The sequence below is a fragment of the Homo sapiens genome, chromosome 7 (assembly GCF_000001405.40).
Source record: "Homo sapiens chromosome 7, GRCh38.p14 Primary Assembly".
Lineage (NCBI taxonomy): Eukaryota > Metazoa > Chordata > Mammalia > Primates > Hominidae > Homo > Homo sapiens.
Window position 1 is genome coordinate 65,140,522 of NC_000007.14, and position 23,570 is coordinate 65,164,091.

At 40.3% G+C, this 23,570-nt stretch overlaps 1 pseudogene across 2 annotated transcripts in view; it reads left to right on the top strand.

Annotated features, from left to right (window-relative positions):
• Nucleotides 1-508: 508 nt before the first annotated feature.
• The window catches only part of INTS4P1 (integrator complex subunit 4 pseudogene 1), a 93,193-nt pseudogene continuing 70,131 nt past the window's right edge, over nt 509-23,570 (top strand). Inside the window, exons 1-3 of one of the 2 annotated variants that reach the window (NR_146906.1) lie at nt 509-887; nt 9,732-9,820; nt 12,496-12,616. The product of NR_146906.1 is annotated as an integrator complex subunit 4 pseudogene 1, transcript variant 2 (transcript). The remainder of the gene's footprint in view (nt 888-9,731; nt 9,821-12,495; nt 12,617-23,570) is intronic. The other variant, NR_146905.1, reaches the window with a different exon arrangement.

The following is a 23,570-nucleotide window of genomic DNA, read 5'->3' on the forward strand; positions in this document are numbered from 1 at the left end:
CACATTTTAATACATTGATTCTATTGTGGAAGGTCGTGTGACATGGAATGTTAAACAATTAAAATGGTCAAATGTACTTCCATGTTTATGTGATTTGCATTCACAGGAAGAAAATGGGTAATGCCGAAGGAACATTGGCCTAGAGAAGCTTACTGAAGCAAGGGAATTTGGAGTGAGACTTTCTCCCGCTGCGGCTTTCTGCCCCCACACCGCGGCTTTTGCAGCTTTTTGCCTCCGCTGCCGCGGCGTTTTGGTCCCCGCCGCCGCGGCTTTTTGTGGTTTTTTTGCCCCAGCTCCCACTGCTTTTTGTCCCCCCCGCCGCGGCTTTTTGCCCCCGCCCCGGCGGCTTTCTTCCGCCGCGGCTTTTTGCCCCGCCGCCGCGCATTTTTGCCGCCGCGGCTTTTTGCCCCCGCCGCCTAAGCTTTTTGCCTGCGCCGCCGCGGCTTTTTGCCCCCCGTCGCCGCGGCTTTTTGCCGCCGCGGCTTTCTGCTCCCGCCGCCACGGCTCTGAGGGCGGGAGCGGCAGACTCCGCTGCCAGCTCTACTGGCGTCCTGGCAAGGGCAGCGCCGAGGGGCGCTCCCGGTCCAGCTCTCCCGGCTCGGGGGTTCCTTGCCTAGGCGCCAGAGCCCCGGGCTCCCTGCCTCGGCCGCTGTGGCCTGCATAGAGCGGCACTGCGCGCGGAGGCGATGGGAGAGAAGAAGGAGGGCGGTGGCGGGGGTGATGCAGCGGCCGCTGAGGGTGGCGCAGGGGCCCCGGCCAGCCCGGGGCTGCAGCAGTGCAGACAGCTCCAGAAGCTCATCGGCATCTCCATTGGCAGCCTGCGCGGGCTGGGCACCAAGTGCGCTGTGTCCAACGACCTCACCGAGCAGGAGATACGGACCCTGGAGGTAAGGGGTTTGGGGACCCGGGCTGGGCTCGAGGAGCGGCCCGGACACCTCCCTTGAGGCCCCAGTTCACTCCTGGCCGAGTTGCATCCTTGAGCCCGCGTCGCGCCCTTGGAGGCTTCCCCTCCCTCCTGCACTCGCTGATGGGGCAGCCGAGAGACCCGGGACCAGCCCTCACCTTGGGCAGGATTTGTGGGGCGAGTGCTTGGTGGGAACTGGGATGGAGGCTCTAGGGTCCCGTGGGGCGGGGAGGGTGGGGGTGGGCTGCGCGCGGACATCCCCTTACCCCCGAATTTCCATCTGGTCCGGCCCTCTCATCTTGTAGGTGAGGAAACCAAAGGCCTGAGGGAGAACTGACTTGCCAGGAACCCCTGTTAAGGAGAATTACCAAAGTGTGGTTATTAAAGGAGAACTGAGTTGGGAGTCAGACCTGGAGTCCCACACCCTTGGTTAAGTCATTATACCACCTTGAGTCTGGCCTGTTGACTGAGGGTGAGCCACTCCATCCTCGTCTGATTGTGGGGTCTTGACCTCAAGGGGTTTCGTGCAGGAAGAAGCAAATGGGTTTGCTTTCCTAGCTCTGTCCAGTACCTTAGGGACCCTGAGGACTGAAGCGATTCTTGGAGAGCCATCTGGTGTATGTCATGCGTGGGCCTTTCTTGAAGGTCTATCTGCCCAGTGGGCTGGCTCAGCCCGAATGAACTGTCTTGAATCTTTGGAGTTGTCTGTGTACTTTTAAGGGCTTCTCATCCTTGCACCAAAAGATCCCCTGGAAATTAGGTGGGAAAACCTTACCTGTTGTGGGGCCTTGTGTTTGTCTTAAAAGTTCGTGCACATGACCAGGTGTGGTGGCTCACACCTGTTATCCTGTCCTGGATCCCTTGAGTCAAAGAGTTTGAGACCAACCTGGACAATACAGTGAGACCCCGTCTCTACAAAAGATAAAATATTAGCCAGGGGTGGCTGCGCGCATCTGTAGTCCCAGCTAGTACTGTGGCTGAGGCAGGAGGAGCACTTGAGCCTGCACTGAGCTGTGATCTCACCAGTGTACTCCAGCCTGGGCCACAGAGCAAGACCTTGACTCAAAAACAACAACAACAACAACAAAAATTCTTGAAGATTTTGCATTCTGTCCCACTATCCATTGGTTTTCATGTCAAGATAATGTGAGAAATTCTTTACAATTGCTTCCAGAAGGAATAGCCTTTTGATTTAGTGCACAGGTGTCCAGTCTTTTGGCTTCTCAGGCCCACATTGGAAGAAGAATGCTCCTGAGCCACACATAAAATACACTAATGCTAACAACAGCTGATGAGCTTAAAAAAAAAAAAAAAAAAAGGTTTGTGCAGAATTTTGATGATACCCACCACCAAAGATAGGCGGAAAAGTCCTTGTAGTCACAGGGTTGGACACGGCTGATCTAGTGTCTTGTCGTCCGTTTTGGCTTTCTCCCGGTTTCCAGAATGCAGGTAGAGATGTAGAGACGTGCTCTCAGGACAGATGTTGAGATAAAAAAATTCGTTGTCATTTATTCCCAAGGACAGCTGTTTGTCATTTGCATTGAAAAAGTCTCCATTCAAACTGCTGTCACATATAAAATCTATTTATATAAGTCTGTATTTTTCTGTTGTCTTGGCCTTTGTGGGCAGTAGTGTGTTTTAACCGAGCAAACTGTCCTTCCAAATAATGAAGCCGAAGTCAGCCTGCCTGCTTGCCATTTTTCTTCCCCTTCCATTTTTCTAACCCCAGGATAGTTGTAAGAATGAATTAAGATTTGTGTTTAAGGCCGGGCACAGTGTCTCAGGCCTGTAATCCCAGCACTTTGGGAGGCGGAGACGGATGTATCACTTGAGCTCAGGAGTCCAAGACCAGCCTGGGCAACATACTGAGACTCCGTCTTGTATAATTAAATTAAAATTTAAAAAAAGAAGAGAAAAAGACCTGTGCTTAAAATTTAAAAAAAGGGGGGAAAGTGTAATGCAAAATGTGGACTATGCCAGCCATGATTGGGAAAAATAATTTTTCATACAGCATTATCTGTAGACTTGTATTAGCAGCATACTGGTCATAAGCGTTTTGCTTTCCTCAAATATGATGAGGTAAGCTACTTTAAAGTGTGGTGGGGCTTTCTTCCATGTGGCTCCTGGAGGTGTTGAGTCCCAATTCAGCCAATTAATTTGGGTTTAGTTTTGATATGGATAAGGGAATCCAGCTTCATTCATGGTGCACACACAGTTTTGCCAATAAGGAAAAAAAAAAGCCACCTGAATGTTCCTACTCATTAGATGCTATCTGGAGAGCTCCTTCCCCACCCGCACCAAGGCCTGGGCCCTTAAAAAGACTCAGTGCAGCCTTTCTGTATCTCATACTGTATTCTGCAAGATGCTCCTGTGAAAGAAAGTTGTGCTGCACCAGCCATCTCCCTCCTGAAGATCCCTGCGGATGAGGATTTGTGTTTTAAAGGTTCTGAGAAGTCCTGCAACAACAGTTCTCAAACTTATTTGTCCAGGGGATCTTTTCTTCCACTGAACGTAGTTGGGGAGACACGGCCTTAAGCCTTGAGCAGAGAAAGAGACAAGAAACTGTTGGCTCACTTACAACCAAGTGTTGTGTTTATGTTTTAGGTTTTTATGAAACTGAGGTGCTGTTTGAGGTTCTAAATCAAACTGGGTGGTTGAAGAGAGGCTGGTATCCCTGTAGACTTAGCCAGCCATGAGAGGTTGCCTTTTGTTGAAGGAGGTGTTTTACAAAGGGAAATAGGGTGTCTCCTGGGCATCACATTAGCACTTAAATACATGTATCACTGAAATGAAATGAAATGATGAAATGATGAAATGATCAAATGAAGAAACGAAATGATGAAATGATGAAATGAAATGAAATGATGAAATGATGAAATGAAATGATGAGATGAGATGAAATGAAATGATGAGATGAAATGACATGATAAAATGATGAAATGAAATGATGAAATCGAATGATGAAATGAAATAATGAAATGATGAAACAAAATGGTGAAATGAAATGAGGAAATGAAATGAAATGATGAAATGAACTGATGAAGTGAAATAATGAAATGAAATGATGAAAAGAAAAGATGAAATGATGAAATGAAGAAATGATATGAAATGATGAAATGATGAAGTGAAACAATGAAATGAAAAGATGAAATGATGAAATGAACAAATGATATGAAATGATGAGATGAAATGTAATGAAGTGATGAAGTGAAATGATGAAATGATGAAATAATGAAATGAAATGATGAATTGATGACATGAAATGATGAAATGAAATGACGAGATTAAAAGGTGAAATGAAACGAAATGATTAAATGAAATGATGAGATGAAAAGATGAAATGATGAGATGAAATGAAATCATTAGATGAAATGATGAAATCATGAGATGAAGTGAAATGATGAAATGAAATGATAAGATGAAATGAGAAATGGAATGATGATGAAATGGTGAAATGAAGTGAAATGAAATGATGAAGAAATGATATGAAATGATGGAATGAAATGATGAAATGAAGTGAAATAATGAAATGATGAAATAAGGAAATGAAATGAATTGACAAAATGAAATGATGAAATGAATGACGAAATGAAAAGATGAAATGAAATAAATGAGATGAAAAGATGCTATAAATTGATGAGATGAAATGAAATCATGAGATGAAATGATGAGATGAAGTGAAATGATGAAATGATGAGATGAAATGATGAAATGAAATAATGAAAGGATGAAATGATGAGATGAAATGATGAAATGGAATGATGAAATGAAATGATGAAATGGTGAAATGAAATGAGGAAATGAAATGAAGAAATGAAGTGAAATGATGAAATGAAATGAAATGATGAAATGAAAAGATCAAATGATGAAATGAAGAAATGATATGAAATGATGAAGTGAAGTGAAATGATTAATGAAATAATGAAATGATGAATTGATGAAATGAAATGATGAGATGAAAAGATGAAATGAAATGATGAAATGAGATGAAAAGATGAAATGAAATGAGATGAAATGAAATCATGAGATGAAATGAAATCATGAGATGAAATTATGAAATGATGAGATGAAGTGAAATGATGAAATGAGGAAATGCAATGATGAGATGAAATGAAATGAAATAATGAAATGAAAGGATGAAATGAGATGAAATGATGAAAGGATGAAATGAAATGATGAAATGATGAAATGAAATGATAAGTCAAATGATGAAATGATGAAATGGAAAGATGAAATGATGAAATGATATGAAATGCAATGATGAAATGATATTAAATGATGAAATGATGAAATGAAGTCAAATGATGAAATGATGAAGTAAATGAAATGAATTGATGAAATAATGAAATGATGAGATGAAATGATGAAATGATGAAATGGAATGATGAAATGATGAAATGGTGAAATGAAATGAGGAAATGAAAGGAAGAAATGAAATGATGCAGTGAAATGATGAAATGAAATGAAATGAAAAGATCAAATGATGAAATGAAGAAATGATATGAAATGATGAAATGAAGTGAAATGATTAATGAAATGATGAAATGATGAATTGATGAAATGATGAGATGAAAAGATGAAATGATGAAATGAGATGAAAAGATGAAATGAGATGAAATGAAATCATGAGATGAAATCATGAGATGAAATTATGAAATGAGATGAAGTGAAATGATGAAATGAGGAAATGCAATGATGAAATGATGAAATGAAATAATGAAATGAAAGGATGAAATGAGATGAAATGATGAAAGGATGCAATGAAATGAAATGATGAAATGAGGAAATGAAATGATGAAATGAAATGATAAGTCAAATGATGAAATGATGAAATGGAAAGATGAAATGATGAAATGATATGAAATGATGAAATGATATTAAATGATGAAATGAAGTCAAATGATGAAAAGATGAAATGAAATAAGTGAAATGAAATGAATTGATGAAAAATGAATTGAGATGAAAAGATGCAATGATGAAATGAAATGACGAAAAGATGAAATAAAATGAGATGAAATGAAATGATGAGATGAAGTGAAATGATGAAATGTTGAGATGAAATGATGAAATGAAATGAAAGAATGAAATGAAATGATGAGATGAAATGATGCAATAAAATGATGAAAGGATGAAATAATGAAATGAGATGAAAAGATGAAATGAGATGAAAAGATGAAATGAGATGAAATGAAATCATGAGATGAAATGATGAAATGATGAGATGAAGTGAAATGATGAAATGAAATGTTGAGATGAAATGATGAAATGAAAGAATGAAATGAAATGATGAGATGAAATGATGAAATGAAATGATGCAACGAAATGATGAAAGGATGAAATGAAATGAGGAAATTAAATGAAATGATGAAATAGATGAACCAAAAATACTTATTCATTTTTTTTCTTGGCATCCTTCTAAGAGTATTTTAGTGAGGTTAATTTCTAAAACTAAATTGCTATTCAATGGCTTTACAGTTGGCCTTTGCACCACAGGGGTTTGAACTGTGCAGGTCCACTTAGCAAAACCAACAATTCTACATCCTTCTCCACACCCTGCCCATGAAAAGGATGAGGATGAAGACCTGTTTGATCATGTACTTCCATTTAATAACTAGTAAATATATTTTCCTTATGATTTTCTTTTTCTTTTCTCTGGCATGTTTGTTAAGAATACAGTATATAAGACATATAACATATTAAATATGTGTTAATTGACTGCTTGTGTTATTTGTAAGGCTTACAGTAGGCTATTAGTAGTTAAGTTTTGGGGGAGTCAAAGTTATAGTGGATTTTCTACTGTGTAGGGGGGCCAGCACCCCAACCTCTGTGTTGCTTAAGGGTCAACTGTACATGTTATTTCCTTTCCTGTAAGAGAAAAATGATGAGAAGGTCTTTTCTCCAATAAGTGTATTCAAAATGTAGCAGACTTGAAATGTGTTGGCGCCACCATTTTGCGTCTCACTTTGAAAACTTATTATTAAAAATCGTACTAAAGCCTTACTTTTCCAACCTTAGAAAAAATGTTACAAAGAAAAGGAGTGAAACCATGCTAGTTTGCCCTGAAATTTGAAATTATCTTGTAAAAATATATTTTTACATTAATTGCTTCCAAAATAGAGATCAGTTGCATACAAATGGCAGGTCACCCTAATCCACCCTATGACTGCACTTAGATTCATGAGGAATTGTGCCATCTAGAAAGGGCAGAGAAGAGGAGCCACATGCTTTGATTCTGTTGTCACTGTGTACTTACTGCTAGGAAGAGGGCATGTTTGTGTATTTTTATGCTAATTATTATGCAAGTTGTTAAGGATTTAGGCTTTCAGAACCATATAAAGGTTTTTTCCTTTCAGATATAAACTATCTTGCATTGTTCTTCTGATCATATGAGGGATAAATTTGCCTAAATATTCTTCAGACCATAATGTTATGTCCATATAAATGCCAGTAGCAAGAGTAGAATCAACCACAACTGCCTTTGTAATTATTAAAAGCATGTGTGCCTATAAGTAATTGGCATTTTATATAATCAAGAATCTTTGATATAATAATCTCTCAACTATTTGAAACATGGCTCACATATATTAATTTTATATGCAAATATATGTATAATATCATTGTATATGAAACTAAATTTTGGACTGTAGAACAGCTTCTTAGAATCTTGACTTAAATGTCCACAGTAATATTTGACTGAAAAAAATTTAGCACACTGTCACTATGATGAAAAAATTACTATAAAATTATTTTAAAAATTTTCCACCCTAACGTTTAGAACATTCTCACATTTGTGGTTAAAACCTATTGTGATTGTTCCTAGAATTTAGATAAAAAATGTTCCAGAAAGTTTGAAGAGAAGCACTTTAGTCAATTTGTATTTGTTCAAGCATGAAGAAATGGCATTTCATTGACATTTTAAAAACTATTCAGATTCCCTCTTTGAATTCAAGTGTTTCAAAGATATCTTATTTTTAAATACCAAAATAGGAATAGAATATGAAGGGCTGGTTATGAGTAATATGATACACTTTTATGAGAGGATGAGATTACAATAACAATACCTCCTCTCATAGAATAGCCAGCAAGTCTCCACTAAATAACAGTGCCTTGATTTTATAGATGTTTAATCTTGGATATTGAGTTAATGTGAACCATTTGTAGACACAGGAGTTTATTAAAGAGTTATATAATATCTTTCAAGTATTTAGAATAGTGTTGAAATTAAGCCTGCATCCCCACGATTTTCAGAGGTGCTGATGCCTAATAAACTCAACCCCTTGCATGCCAAAATTGGCTTAAAGCCCACCCGTTACCCAAGCTACACTTCAAGCATCAAGGCTCAAAAATGTAATTTTAAATATGCAAGAGTTTGAGGAATTCACTACTCACACTTTCTTGAACAGTCTATCCAAGTGCATCAAGCAAAATGTGAGTAAAGAAATTTTGACCAAAGGATTGATAGTAATGTTGAATACTTTTAATAGTAGATCTAAGATTAAAAGGTGAGAGTGAGGGTGAGAAGAGTGTATGAATGCTTTGTGTTCTGACAAAGAGAATGTAGCACCCATGTCCTACGTGCTCGGTTGCATTGCCAGTGCCCACGGTAGGCTATTTTATCCCAGTTTTTAGTTTTTTTTGTTTTGTTTTGTTTTTTTCTTTTCAGGAGAATTAGTCCAAGACCAATAACTCCATAACTGGTAGAATTGGAAGACTTCAATAGTGCTTAACATTTTGTACATAGCTTTATAACAGTTTTCTTTTTCTTTTTTTCTGAGAGATTCTTTTCAATATACCCAATCATGGTCGAACTCAAAGTCATTGCTTATTTAAAATCTACAACTGCTGACGTTTTGTATCCTTCACATTCCAGGTAATTGGTTTTTTTGTGCATTTTCTGTATTTTTCTCCATCAATCTGCCTAGATATTTGTTAGATTTAATATTTTAATATTTTTCTGAAAAAGTGAGCTTTTGCAGTTTTAAACATATACTCAGTTGTTTTAATTCTGCTTTTTCATGTACTATTTCCTCGTTTTTTTTTTTTTTTTTTGATACTATGTGGGAAGCCAAATAATTTAAAGGAAACTTGGATAGTAAGGACTCAGAGGAACGGAAGTTAGTTGGCTGATTCAGATGTTTGGTGGCATAAGACTCTGTTAGTAATCTAGGCAAGCAGTAATGACAGCATCAAGGGAGTGAGGATGGACTGATAGTGTAGAATTTAAGATATAAGGTAGAATTTGCTTCCTTAATGAGTTCAGGTTTGCGTGTGTTGGGTACAAAAGTTTGATGGGACATCCGTGAAGAGAATTCCAGCCATAAGTAGTTATAAAGGTCTGGAGATCAGGAGAAATCAGAGCTAAGGGTAGGTATTCGGAGCCATCAGTATTTAGGGAGAAATGGGGCTACCCAGAAAGAGTGAGTGGATTGAAACAGAGGCCATTGATTTCAGACCAAGGTAAACAGAAGTGTGCGCTTTGATTTTTACAGGGGGAGGAAAAACCCATAATTGGTGTTTGAGCCTGTGAGAACAGTACTGTGGGCTCCCAGCATGCTTTGCTGGGTTTGATCTGTTCTAGATGTTTTTATGCTGTCAGTCTGTGATTCTCCTTCCAGACGTGGGGTAGAGTGCATAGTCAGAATATAGCCAGAGCAGCTGACAGAGGTCAAGATTCATTTTTAAGCAAAGATTCAAGAAGTTAAAAACCACACACAAGTGTTTTACTGGGCATCCTTATCCAACTACCCTATATCTTCACTTTGAAAATAGTTTAAACATTGCCTGAGAGGACACAGAACTAATAGACTTTTGGAATTCTTCTTTGCAGGCCTGTAAATTACTCTCTGATGACTATGAACAAGTGCGCAGTGCTGCAGTCTAGCTTATCTGGGTTGTCAGTCAGCTCTATCCTGAAAGGTCAGTGCGGGTGTAAGCTGGCTTTTGTTGATTGTGAAGCCGTTTTCCTCTCCTCTCACCATGCAAAAAGCCCACTTCTAGAAAAGAAATGTTGGTTAGATTTTTGGAAGGCAATGGGGAGTAAGGGAAAAGCACAGGCCCTGAAAATCAGATTGCCTGGTCCTCATTTTTCATCTCTGATAGGAACTTTCTGTACACCTTCGGAAAGACACTTCTTTTGTCCTAATCTTCTCATCCATAAGTGAAGAAATTGGAATATCTTTCTTAAATGGTTTTCAGTACTTTACAATAAAATCTTTAAAATTGTTTGGGACCCATTTTAGTTTGGCTTGCGCCAAATGCCAAAGATACCAGATGAGTTTGAGAATAATGATCTCTTATGTAGTTTTCCTGGTTAAAAATATTTTCACAGCAATTAAATTAACCACAGTGATTCTTTGAGGAGGTAGGCAATATTATTTATTATATTTTGTAAGATAGAATATTATATTTATAAATATTTATCTTTTATTTATAAATATTTATAGAATATTTTATTTTTCCTTGTATAGGAAAAAGAGGTGTTTTTTCCTCTTCATTAAACTGCCAAAATTTGAAAACCAGAATGGATTAATAAACCTGTAGGAGTAGGCTCCATTTGTAGTAGACTCCATTTTAGGACTTAGACATATACAAAGAAAAGGGCTAAGTGGAAATTGTCTCTTCTTTTAGGACTGGATTGATAAGTAAGTTTTATATTGATTTATTCTGAGATTTAATGTATTTATAGAAGTTCAGTCTGGACACGGTGGTGCCTGTAATCCCAGCACTTTTGGAGGCCGAGGTGGGCGGATCACCTCGGGTCAGGAGTTCAAGACCAGCCTGGCCAGCATGGTGAAACCTCATCTCTACTGAAAATACAAAAATTAGCCGGGCATGGTGGCACACGCCTGTAATCCCAGCTACTAGGGAGGCTAAGGCAGGAGAATCGCTTGAACCCGGGAAGTGGAGATTGCAGTGAGCTGAGATCGCACCACTGCACTCCAGCCTGGGTCACAGAGCAAGACACTTTCTCTCAAAAAAAAAAAAGAAGAAGAAGAAGAATTTCAGTTACAGAAGATAATAAACTTAAGGATATGAAATATTCGGTGGAAGCTAGTTTTTGATAATTTCATAAATCTTTGAACCTTTGGTGGGTTACGTACTTTTTTTTTAAGGCAGGGTCTTGCTCTGTGGCCCAGGCTGCAGTGCAGTGATGTGATCTCGGCTTACTGCAACCTCCAACTCCTGGGTTGAAGCAATTCTCATGCCTGAGCCTCCCAAATAGCCGGAATTACAGTTGCGCCCCACCACACCCAGCTCATTTTTTGTATTTTTAGTAGAGATGAGGTTTTGCCATGTTGGGTAGGCTAGTCTTGAACCCCTGGCTTCAGGTAATCTGCCCACCTCAGTATCTCAGTGTGCTGGGATTACACGCCTGGCTGAACCTTTGGTGGGTTACACACTTTTATTCAATACATTGAAAATTTGCACCTGATTGCAGTGGCTCAGCCCTGTAATCCTAGCACTTTGGGAGGTGAGGCGGGCGGATTGCTTGATCTCAGGAGTTTGAGATCAACCTGGGCAACATGGTGAACCGTCTCTACTAAAAATATAAAAAATTAGCTGGGTGTGGTGGCATGCTTTTGTAGTCCCAGCTACTCAGAAGAGTGAACTGGGAGGATCACCTGAGCCCAGGAAGTTGACACTGCGGTGAGCAGTGCTCATGCCAACTGCACTCCAGCCTGGGTGACAGAAGTGAGACCCTGTCTCAAAAAAAAAGCATAATTTGCAATGCAACTGAAAGAGTTGGTTTGTACTCCTAGAGTGATTTGTTTATTTCAAACTGTATTTAATCATTCTAGGATTTGAACTATTCAATTATCATTTTTGTGTGTGTCAGTCTTCATTGACTGTTCTCAGTTTATTGAGCCTGCAGCCTTACTTACTTATGTATTTATTTGTTTATTATTATTATTATTATTATTATTATTATTATTATTATTATTATTTGAGATGGAGTCTCGCTCTGTTGCCCAGGCTGGAGTGTAGTGGCACTATCTCGGATCACTGCAACCTCCACCTTCCAGGTTCAAGCGATTCTCCTGCCTCAGCCTCCTGAGTAGCTGGGATTGCAGACATGTGTCACCGTGCCTGGCTAGCTTTTATATTTTCAGTAGAGAGGAGGTTTCACCATGTTGGCCAGGCTGGTCTCGAACTCTTGACCTCAAGTTATCCACCTGCCTCAGCCTCCCAAAGTGCTGGGATTACAGGCGTGAGCCATTGCACCCAGACTGTATTTATTTTTTGAGACAGGGTCTTGCTCCGTCATCCAGGCTGGAGTGCCGGGGTGTGATCTCAGCTCACTGCAACCTTCACCTCCAGAGCTAAAGTTATGTTCCCACTTCAGCCTCCCAAGTAGCTGGGACTATCAGCGCATGCCACCATGCCTAGCTAATTTTTGTATTTTTTTTGTAGAGATGAGGTTTTGCCATATTGCTCAGGTTGGTCTTGAACTCTTGGGCTCAAGCAATCTACCTGCCTGGGCCTCCCAAAGTGTTGGGATTATAGATGTGAGCCACTGTGCATGGCCTGAATCTGCAGACTTAGATTCATGTTTTGTTCTAAGTGATTTCATTTCTTTTCTTTTAATTTAGCATTGTCCCAATTCCTTCTTCTAATGAAGAAATACGCTTAGTTGATGATGCGTTTGGAAAAATTTGTCACATGGTCAGTGATGGCTCTTGGGTGGTTCATGTTCAGGCAGCAAAACTGTTGGTAAGTTATACTTTTTATGTATGTATGAATGCATGTATATATTTATTTGTTTTCTTTTCTGTAGAAATGAGGCCTGTGTGGCCCAGGTTGGTCTCAAACTCTTGGCCTCAAGCAGTCCTCCTGCCTCAGCCTCCCAAAAGACTGGGATTATAGGCTGGGTGCGGTGACTCACACCTGTAATTCCAGCACTTTGGGAGGCGAAGGCGGGTGGATCACGAGGTCAGGAGATTGAGACCATCCTGGCCAACATGGTAAAACCCCGTCTCTACTAAAAATACAAAAATTAGCTGGGGCATGGTGGCGCACGCCTGTAATCCCAGCTACTTGGGAGGCTGAGGCAGGAGAATCGCTTGAACCCGGAGGTGGAAGTTGCAGCGAGCCAAGATCACGCTGCTGGACTCCGGCCTGGTGACAAGGAGGAGACTCTCATCTTAAAAAAAAAAAAAAGGCTGGGATTATAGATGTGAGCCACTACACCCAGCCAATAATCCTTTTTTTAAATGAACACATTGCTTGTTAAGTTTTTACAAACATTTTGAGAAACTACAGATGGGGCAGTGTGACCTGAATTTAAAACCCCAGAATTTCTTTTTCTTTTTCTTTTCTTGAGACAGGGTCTTCCTCTGTTGCTCAGGCAGGAGTGCAATGGGGCAGTCACGGCTCACTGCAGCCTCGACCTGCCAGGCTCAAGCGATCCTTCCACCTCAGCCTCCTGAGTAGCTGGGACTACAGGCATGTGCCACCCTGCCTAGCTAATTTGTATTTTTTGTAGAGATGGGGTCTTGCTTTGTGCCCAGGCTGGTCTTGAATTCCTAGGCTCAAGTGATCCTTCTGCCTTGGCCTCCCAAATTGTTGGGATTACAGGTTTAAGCCACTACTCCCAGCCCCAGAATTTCTTAATATAGAAAGAAATAGTTCACTCTCCTGTTCACTTTTAGAACTAGAAAGAATCTTAAAACATAATTCTATTAACCCTACTAGGAATTAAGATAGCCGGAGCCTAGAGAAAAAGGAAAACAATAAAAAAAAAGTTTTTCCCATTTATTAAGCACTTGTTATGTCCTAGTTCAGGAGGCTCAAACCCCCAGGCTGTGGACCAGTCCTGGTCCATGGCTTGTTAGGAACCAGGCCACACAACAGGAGGTGAGTGGTAGATGAGCAAGTATTACTGCCTGAGTGCTGCCTGCTGTCAGATCAGCAGCTGCATTAGATTATCATAGGAGTGTGAACCCTATTGTGAACTGAGCATGTGTGGGATCTAGGTTTCATGCTCCTTGTGAGAGTCTAATTCCTGATGATCTGAGGTGGAACAGTTTCATCCTAAAACCACCCTGCTTCACCACCCTCTCTGGTTTCTTCAATGAAGCTGAACCCAGATGCCAAAAAGGTGGGGGACCACTATCTTAGATAATTTGAAGGAGGCCCCTTACATATATTTTCTCATTTTCTCTTTACAGTAATCCTGCAAGATAGATGCCATTATCCAGTTGGGGCATGGTGGCTCATGCCCATAATCCTAGCACTTTAGGAGGCCGAGGTGGGTGGGTCACTTGAGCCCAGGAGTTCAAGACCAGCCTGGGCAACACAGCTAGATCCCATCTCTATTTTTCAAAAAATAAAATTTTAAAAAATTTAAGAAAAATTTTTTTAAATGCTGTTATCATTTTCTAGATGAGAAAACTAAGGCTCTGAGGAGTTAAGTAAGTTATCCAGCTTATACAGACAGAAAATTGTAGAGTGAGGTCAGATCCTGATCTTGCATCTTTTAGCCTGGTACTTTTCTGTTTTCTTTTTGAGGACTCAGCACATTTATTGAAAATTTTTAACTTTTGTGGCTCACGCCTGTAATCCCAGTACTTTGGGAGGCCAAGGTGGGCGGATCACGAGGTCAAGAGATTGAGACCATCCTGGCCGACATGGTGAAACCCCGTCTCTACTAAAAATATAAAAATTAGCTGGGCGTGGTGGTGCACGCCTCTAGTCCTAGCTACTTGGGAAGCTGAGACAGGAGAATCGCTTGAACCCGGGAGGCAGAGGTTACCCGGGAGGCAGAGGTTACCCGGGAGGCAGAGGCGCAGTGGCTCACACCTATAATCCCAGCACTTTGGGAGGCCGAAGCGGGCAAATCACTTGAGGTCAGGAGTTCGAGACCAGCCTGGCCAACATGGTGAAACCCCATCTCTACTAAAAATACAAAAACTAGCCTGGTGTGATGACACACACCTGTAGTTCCAGCTATTCTGGAGGCTGAGGTGGGAGAATCACTTGAACCTGGGAGGCAGGGGTTGCAGTGAGCTGAGATTGTGCCATTGCACTCCAGCCTGTGCAAAAGAGCGAGACCCTGTCTCAAAAAAAAAATTGTTTAACTTTTAAGGGATAAAATTGTTTTGTAATAGAGTGTTGGCCTAATAGCCTTATTTTATATCTGTGTTACCTTGTATATGTCACTTGATATTAGTCTCAGTTTCCTCATCTGTTAAGTGGGGTTCTAATATCTCTCATATTTACCTGACAGTGTTGTCATGATGCTCAAATGAGATACAGTCTATGAAAATGTTTATAAACTAAAAAGTACTATACTATGTAGGGTGGATGGGGGCATAGTATATAACTATATGTGTGTGTAAGTATCTATAAAAATTTGTATACGTGTCACAGCAGGAAAATCTGTGATTCTTTTTGGACACTTCCCCTTTGAGTGCCCCCAGCCCTGCCACTCTTGGTGAGACTGTTGGCTGAATGCTTTGTTTCTGACTGTACTGGACACTGATCCAGTGATAGCTTTAGTCCTGTGACCAGTATTTATGGGAGTACTTGCTGAAACCTGTGTGAAGCATTTTCATGAGATATAGTAATGGATGATTGGAGTATTTCCACTCTTGTGCATATTAGAGTTAAACAAGCCAGCTGTTACTGATTTTATTTCTGAATTCATATTTTAAAACTTTCTTTTGGGTTATGAATGTTTTAAAATTCAGAACAGTCTAATCATTCATCAGATCCTTTCATTTGGCATTTACAGAGGATCTACAACGAACTCTAGGTGGGAGTGGGGAAGAGAAAGATGTTTTAGAGGAGTAAATTAATGATATATCTTTACCTGAATAGGCAGTTTTAAAAAGTAATCCTTAAAGTAAGAATCATTCAAAATTTTCAGTTTTGTACTCTATAGGATCTGAAATTTATTTGCATAAAGTTGTATGTATAACATATGGTACATTGAAAGGATTTCTACTTGAATGACTCTAACTTGAGTCACATGCCTTGTGTTATAATTCCATGTTAAATCCAAACAGCTTCAAATTATATAAGTAATTATGTTTGTATTCAGAAATAATAATCATTCTTACCTTGCTGATAATAATAATTACTACTATGTATAGAGTTCCTGGCCTACTAAATGAGGCATTTTTAGTCATACATACACACATAAATACACACATATTCACATATAAATATTAACCCACTTCTTTATATACAAGCACACATGCCTAACTCATTTGCATACTTTTGCAAGTAACTTTTAATCTTTTTAAACTCTCTGAGGTAAATGTATTACTTATAAATAACAAAATTAAAATTTAGGAATGTGGTATAATTTTTCTGAGACCACACAGATAGTAAATGATAGATGAGGACTTCAAACTTCATAATCTAAAGCCCATGTATAATCCTTTCCTGGTGAGTATCCAGTTACACATTGGGATTGGCCAGTTAAGGCCCTGCTGGTTTATTAGTATCTCTGTGCAAGCTAAGAGGTAAAGCTGCCCTACTCCAGCTCTCCAGTAGATGAACCTGTGATCAAGTGATTTGTGTATAATCTTTCATTAAAAATTAATTAATTTTTAAAAATTGACACATTGGTTGAACTAGTTTACAGTCCCACCAACAGTGTAAAAGTGTTCCTATTTCTCCACATCCTCTCCAGCACCTGTTGTTTCCTGACTTGTTAATGATCACCATTCTAACTGGTGTGAGATGGTATCTCATTATGGTTTTGATTTGCATTTCTCTGATGGCCAGGGATGATGAGCATGTTTTCCTGTGTCTTTTGGCTGCATAAATGTCTTCTTTTGAGAAGTGTCTGTTCATATCCTTTGCCCACTTTTTCATGGGGCTGTTTGTTTTCTTCTTGTAGATTTGTTTGAGTTCATTGTAGATTCTGGATATTAGCCCTTTGTCAGATGAGTAGATTGCAACAATTTTCTCCCATTCTGTAGGTTGCCTGTTCACTCTGATGGTAGTTTCTTTTGCTGTGCAGAAGCTCTTTAGTTTAATTAGATCCCATTTGTCAATTTTGGCCTTTGTTGCCATTGCTTTTGGTGTTTTAGATATGAAGTCCTTGCCCATGCCTGGGTCCTGAATGGTATTGCCTAGGTTTTCTTCTAGGGTTTTTATGGTTTTAGTTCTAACATGTAAGTCTTTCATCCATCTTGAATTAATTTTTGTCTAAGGTGTAAGGAAGGGATCCAGTTTCAGCTTTCTACATATGGCTAGCCAGTTTTCCCGTCACCATTTATTAAATAGGGAATCCTTTCCCCATTTCTTGTTTTTGTCAGATTTGTCAAAGATCAGATGGTTGTAGATATGCGGCATTATTTCTGAGGGCTCTGTTCTGTTCCATTGATCTATATCTCTGTTTTGGTACCTGTGGCGATTCCTCAGGGATCTTGAACTAGAAATACCATTTGACCCAGCAATCCCATTACTTGGTATATACCCAAAGGATTATAAATCACACTGCTATAAAGACACAAGCACACGTATGTTTATTGTGGCACTATTCACAATAGCAAAGACTTGGAACCAAGCCAAATGTCCAACAATGACAGACTGGATTAAGAAAATGTGGCACATATACACCATAGAATACTATGCAGCCATAAAAAAGGATGAGTTCATTTCCTTTGTAGGGACATGGATGAAGCTGGAAACCATCATTCTCAGCAAACTATCGCAAGGACAAAAAACCAAACACCGCATATTCTCACTCATAGGTGGGAATTGAACAATGAGAACACATGGACACAGGAAGGGGAACATCACACACCAGCGCCTGTTGTGGGGTGGGGGGAGGGGGAGGTATAGCACTAGGAGATATACCTAATGTTAAATGACGAGTTGATGGGTGCAGCACACCAACATGGCATATGTATACATATGTAACTAACCTGCACATTGTGCACATGTACCCTAAAACTTAAAGTATAATGAAACAAACAAACAAACAAACAAAAATTGACACATTGTATATATGGGGCACAAGTTGATGTTTTGATACACATCTATGTTGAATATTAATCCAATCAGGATAGTTAGTATAGTTATCACATCATACATTTATCATTTCTTTGCCATGAACTTTCAACAGCCTCTCTTACAGCTATAATATTGTATATTTTGTAATATACAATATTTTACTGTTAATCATAGTCACCTTTATGTGCAGTTGAACACCAGAATTTATTTCTCTTAATTGTGACTTTGTATCTGTTGTCCAGTCTCTTCCCATTCTCTCCTACTCCCTCCCCTCCCCAGTGTCTGCTAACCACTGTTATACTCTCTGCCTCTATGATATCAATTTTTTTCTGAATACTTTAAGTTCTGGGATACATGTGCAGAACGTGCAGGTTTGTGACATAGGTATACATGTGCCATGGTAGTTTGCTGCACCCGTCTACCTATCATCTACATTAGGTATTTCTCCTAATGCTGTTCCTCCCCGAGCCCCCCACCCTCTGACAGTCCCTGGTGTGTGATGTTTCCCTCCTTGTGTCCATGTGTTCACATTGTTCAACTCTCACTTATAAGTGAGAACATGTGGTATTTGGTTTTCTGTTCTTGTGTTAGTTTGCTGAGAATGATGGTTTCCAGCTTCATCCATGTCCCTGCACAGAACATGAACTCATCCTTTTTTATGGCTGCATGGTATTCCATGGTGTATATGCGCCACATTTTCTTTGTCCAGTCTATCATTGATGGGCCTTTGGGTTGGTTCCAAGTCTTTGCTGTTGTGAACAGTGCTGCAATAAACATACGTGTGCATGTGTTTTTATAGTAGAATGATTTATAATCCTTTGGGTATATACCCAGTAATGGGATTGCTGGGTCAAATGGTATTTCTGGTTCTAGATCCTTGAGGAATCGCCATGCTGTCTTCCACAATGGCTGAACTAATTTACACTCCCACCAACAGTGTGAAAGTGTTCCTGTTTCTCCACATCCTCTCCAGCACCTGTGGTTTTCTGTCTTTTTAATGATTGCCATTCTAACTGGTGTGAGATGGTATCTCATTGTGGTTTTGATTTGCATTTCTCTAATGACCAGTGATGATGAGCTTTCTTTCATATGTTTGTCGGTCACATAAATGTCTTCTTTTAAGAAGTGTCTGTTCATATCCTTCACCCACTTTTTGATGGGGTTTTGTTGTGTTTTTTTTTTTGTAAATTTGTTTAAGTTCTTTTTAGATTCTGGATATTAGCTCTTTGTCAGATGGATAGATTGCAAAAACTTTCTCCCATTCTGTAGGTTGCCTGTTCACTCTGATGATAGTTTCTTTTGCTGTGCAGAAGCTCTTTAGTTTAATTAGAACCTATTTCTCAATTTTGGCTTCGTTGCCATTGCTTTTGGTGTTTTAGTCATGAAGTCTTTGCCCATGCCTATGTCCTGAATGGTATTGCCTAGGTTTTCTTCTAGGGTTTTTATGGTTTTAGGTCTTATGTTTAAGTCTTAGATCAGGCAGTATTTGTCTTTCCATGTCTGGCTTATTTCACTTTACATGATGTCCTCCAGGTTAATCGATGTGGCAAATTACAAGATTTTATTCTTTTTTTATTTTCTTTAAGTCAGGGTCTTGCTCTGTTGCCTAGGCTGGAGTGCGGTTCCACGATTGCACAGTCATAGCTCACAGCAACCTCAAACTCCTGGGGACTCCATCCTGGACAACAGCAAAACTGTCCCTAAAAAAAATTAAAAACCAGATTGTTCTTCTTTTTTGATGTAGCCATTTATTGCTGTATACTTATCTCTTAGAACTGCTTTTGTTGCATACCATAGGTTTTGGTATATGTTTTGATTCTTGCTTGTGAAGCGTGTTTCTTCTAGGCAATGTATACTTAGATTTTGTGTTTTAATCTATTCAACCAATGTATACCTTTTTTTTTTTTCTTTCTTTGAGACAGGGTGTCTGTCTCTCTGTTGCCCAGGCTGTAGTGTACCTTTTAATTGAAGAACTTAATCCATTTATATTCAAGATTTTTTTCTACTTCTTCTTCTTCTTTTTTTTTTTTTTTTGTTTCTTTGAGACAGGGTCTCACTCCGTCACCTAGGCTGGAATGCACTGGTGTGATCTCAACTCACTGCAACCTTCACCTCCTGGGTTCAAGTGATTCTCGTGCCCCAACCTCCCCAGTACCGGGATTACAGGCATGTGCCACCATGCCCAACTAATTTTTTTGCATTTTTATTAGAGACGGGTTTTGCCATGTCGGCCATGCTGGTCTCAAACTCCTGGCCTCAAGTGATTCGCTTGCCTTGGCCTCCCAAGGTGCTGGGATTACAGGCATGAGCCACCATGTCCAGCTATATTCAAGATTGTTATTGATAGATAAGGTCTTATTCCTGCCATTTTGTTAATTACTTTTTGGTGGTTTTGGAGATCCTTTGTTCTTGTCTTCCTTTCTTGTTGTTTACCTCTGATTTAGTGGTTTTCTGTGGGGCCAAGCTTTGTTTTCATTCTCTTTCTTGTTTGTGTATCTGCTGTAACTTTTTTCTACATAGACTATAGAGTCTTCAGTTAGGCTGGTGTGGTGGCTCTTGCCTATTATCCCAGCACTTTGGGAGGCTGAGGCAGGCAGATCGCTTGAGCTCATGAGTTTGAGACCAGCCTGGGCAACATAGTGAGACCTCGTTTCTACTAAATAAAGAAAAAAGAAATCAGCCGGGCATGGTGGCACACACCTGTAGTCTCAGCTACCCAGGAGGCTGAGGTGGGAGGACCACTTGAGCCTGGAAGATTGAGGCTGCAGTGAGCCATGATCAGGCCACTATGCTCTAGCGTGGGCATCAGAGTAAGACTGTCTCAAAGGGGAAAAACAGTTACAATAGAATGTTTTAAGCTGATAGCAACTCAACTTTGGTTACATAAAAGGACCCTAGGTTTTTTCCCTCCCCCCTTCAATTTATATTTTTGTTGCCTTAATTTTCTTCTTCATCTGTTATGTGTTCCTTAGCTACTATTTGTAGCTGTTGTAGTTTTTGACCATTTTAAATTTAACCTTCATACTAGCAGATTGAATATTTTATATGACATATTGTATCACTGGGGTTTGATCTGTTTGATTTATGAGTTTACCTTTACTGGTGAGTTTTATACTTTTGTGTGTTGTTATGATAGTGATTATTGTCCTTTTGTTTCTAGTTGTAGCATTCAATACCTTGAATATATTAATTCTATCCCATTCTCTGCTGGTCTACAAGGTTTCTACTGAGAAATCTATTGATAGTAATGGAGATTCTCTTGACAATTTTCTCTTGCAGCTTTGAAAGTCTTACTCTTTGACTTTCGATAGTTTGATTATAATGCACCTTGGAGAGGATCTTTTTGGGTTGAATGTAATTGCGAACCTTTGAACTTCCTGAATCTGGATGTCCGTATTTCTCCCACTACTTGGCAAGTTTTCAGCTATCATTTCATCAAATAGGTTTTCTGCGCCTTTCTCTATCTCTTCTCCATCAGGCAGTCTTCAATGCAAGTATTTGTTTGCCTATTGATGTCCCATATGTTCCAAGGCTTTCTTTTTTATTCTTATTTGTTTTTTTTTTTCCCTCTTAATGGGTTATTTCAAAAGACCTGTCTTCAAGGTCAGAAATTCTTTCTTCTGCTTGATCCTAGTCTATTGTTGAAGCTCTCAACTGTATACTATTTTTATTTTTTTCATTGAATTCTTCAGTTCCAAGATTTCTGTTTGGTTCTTTTTTATGATATTGATTTTGTTGAATTTCTCATTCGGATCATGAATTGTTTTCCTGATTTCATTTAATTGTTTGTCTGTATTCTCTTGTATCTCACTGAGTTTCCTTTAGATCACTATTTTGAATTCCTTTTCAGGCATTTTGTAAGTGTCCTTTTCTTTGGGGTCTGTCATTGGAGACTTTTTTCCTTTTTTTTTTTTTTTTGAGACAGGGTCTTGCTCTGTCACCCAAGCTGAAGTGCAGTGGCATGATCTCAGCTCACTGCAACCTTCTCCTCCTGGGTTTAAGTGATCCTCCCACCTCAGCCTGCTGAGTAGCTAGGACTACAGGCGCATGCCACCACACCCGACTAATTTTTTTATATTTTGTAGAGACGGGTTTTGCCATGTTGCCCAGAATGGTCTTGAACTCCTGAGCTCATGCTATCTGGCTGTCTTGGCCTCCCAGAGTGCTGGGATTACAGATGTGAGCCACTGCCTCCAGCCAGGAGACTTAACCGTATTCCTTTGAGGGTGTCATGTTTCCTTGATTTTCATTTATCGTGTGCAAGATACTGGATGTTGATATGTGTGCATTTAGTAGCGTAGTTGCTCTTTTCAATTTTATTGAGTAGCTAGTATATAGTAACAGTCTTTTTCTGTAGATGGTTTTAGGGTATTAGCTGGGTATGGTGTGTTGCCTTTGGTTCTGGGTGGACTCAATGGGTGGTGTAATAATCCTTGTCAGCTTCAGCTGTAATCTTCAGCTATAATCCTAGTCATTGATGTTTGCAATTGCCTCAGTTGCCTAGGCTGTGGGAGTTTGTGATGGCAATGCTATAGATGAGGGTACCGAGCTGATTTTTGGCCAAGACATGTACAGGCTAAAATGGCTGCCGGGCTGTCTATCTGGTTTTCCAGGGAGGCGGTAGTTACTGCTGTGGTGGCTGTCGTGCTGGGCTCAGGCCTTTGCTGCAGCGGCCTGCTGGGCAGCTCTGTGGCTACGTAGGGAGATGGGGCTACTGCCTGGTTGGCTGTTGCTTTGGGCTAGGCTCAAATGCTTTTGTGCAGTGGGGCTGGGCAGTTTGGCAGCAGTCTATGGTAGGGGGCCAGGGCTACCACAGGACCAGTTGGACTGTGTGCTGTGGGACTGTGGGACTCTATTGTGGCCTGTTTTAGGGGACAGGACCACTGAATTGCCAGCTATCAGGCAGGGCGTGGGCAGGTGGTTCTGTGATGGGTTGTGAGGAAGTAGGGCTGCCGCAGGATTGGCTTTTTGGCTGAGTACTGGCGCATGCATACTTGGCAGCCCAGATGGTTGTATGGAACAGGGGTGTTGGGTAAAGCGCTGCCAGCTGTCTATTTGATGGCTTCCTTGCTGTGCAGGTCTGCCTGTTTTCTGGGTGGTTGGTAGCGCTGTGTGGGGTCTGATGCTGAAATCATCGTCACTCTGTTTGACCTAGACTCTATGTGGATGGGGTTATGGTGCTGCAGGCCATCGTGTGATCACGGTAAAATGATGGCTGGTTCTCAGGGATGAAGAGAGTCAGTTGCTACTGGTCCCCAGGGCAGGATGCACACTAGTAGTGAGTCTAGCTTCAACTTGGTGCCATGCTACAGCAGCTTAGGACAAGGTGGGCTCCCACTCTGAGGCAATACAGCTGAATGATCTCTTGGCTACTCTCCAGACTGGATTTGTGGCCACTGAGGACTTAAGGACTGTCCTTTATCAAGAATTGCTGGTGCCTGTGGCAGCAGTGGGGACCACTGATAGGTATCTCCAGCTTACTCTTTCCCTGTAAGAAGTTCCTCTGATTTTAAGCTGATTTTGGCAAGGGAGACAATGTGGCAGGTAGGAAGCCTCACCCTGTGGTGCTATCCTGAGGCTTCCATGTTCCACAGGGATTTTGCCCTTTCTCTGGTGCTCTGCAGCATATATCTACAGTCATTTTAGTTGAAATATAGTTATTTGTTATTTTGGTCTCTTTTGTTGTGGGTGATGT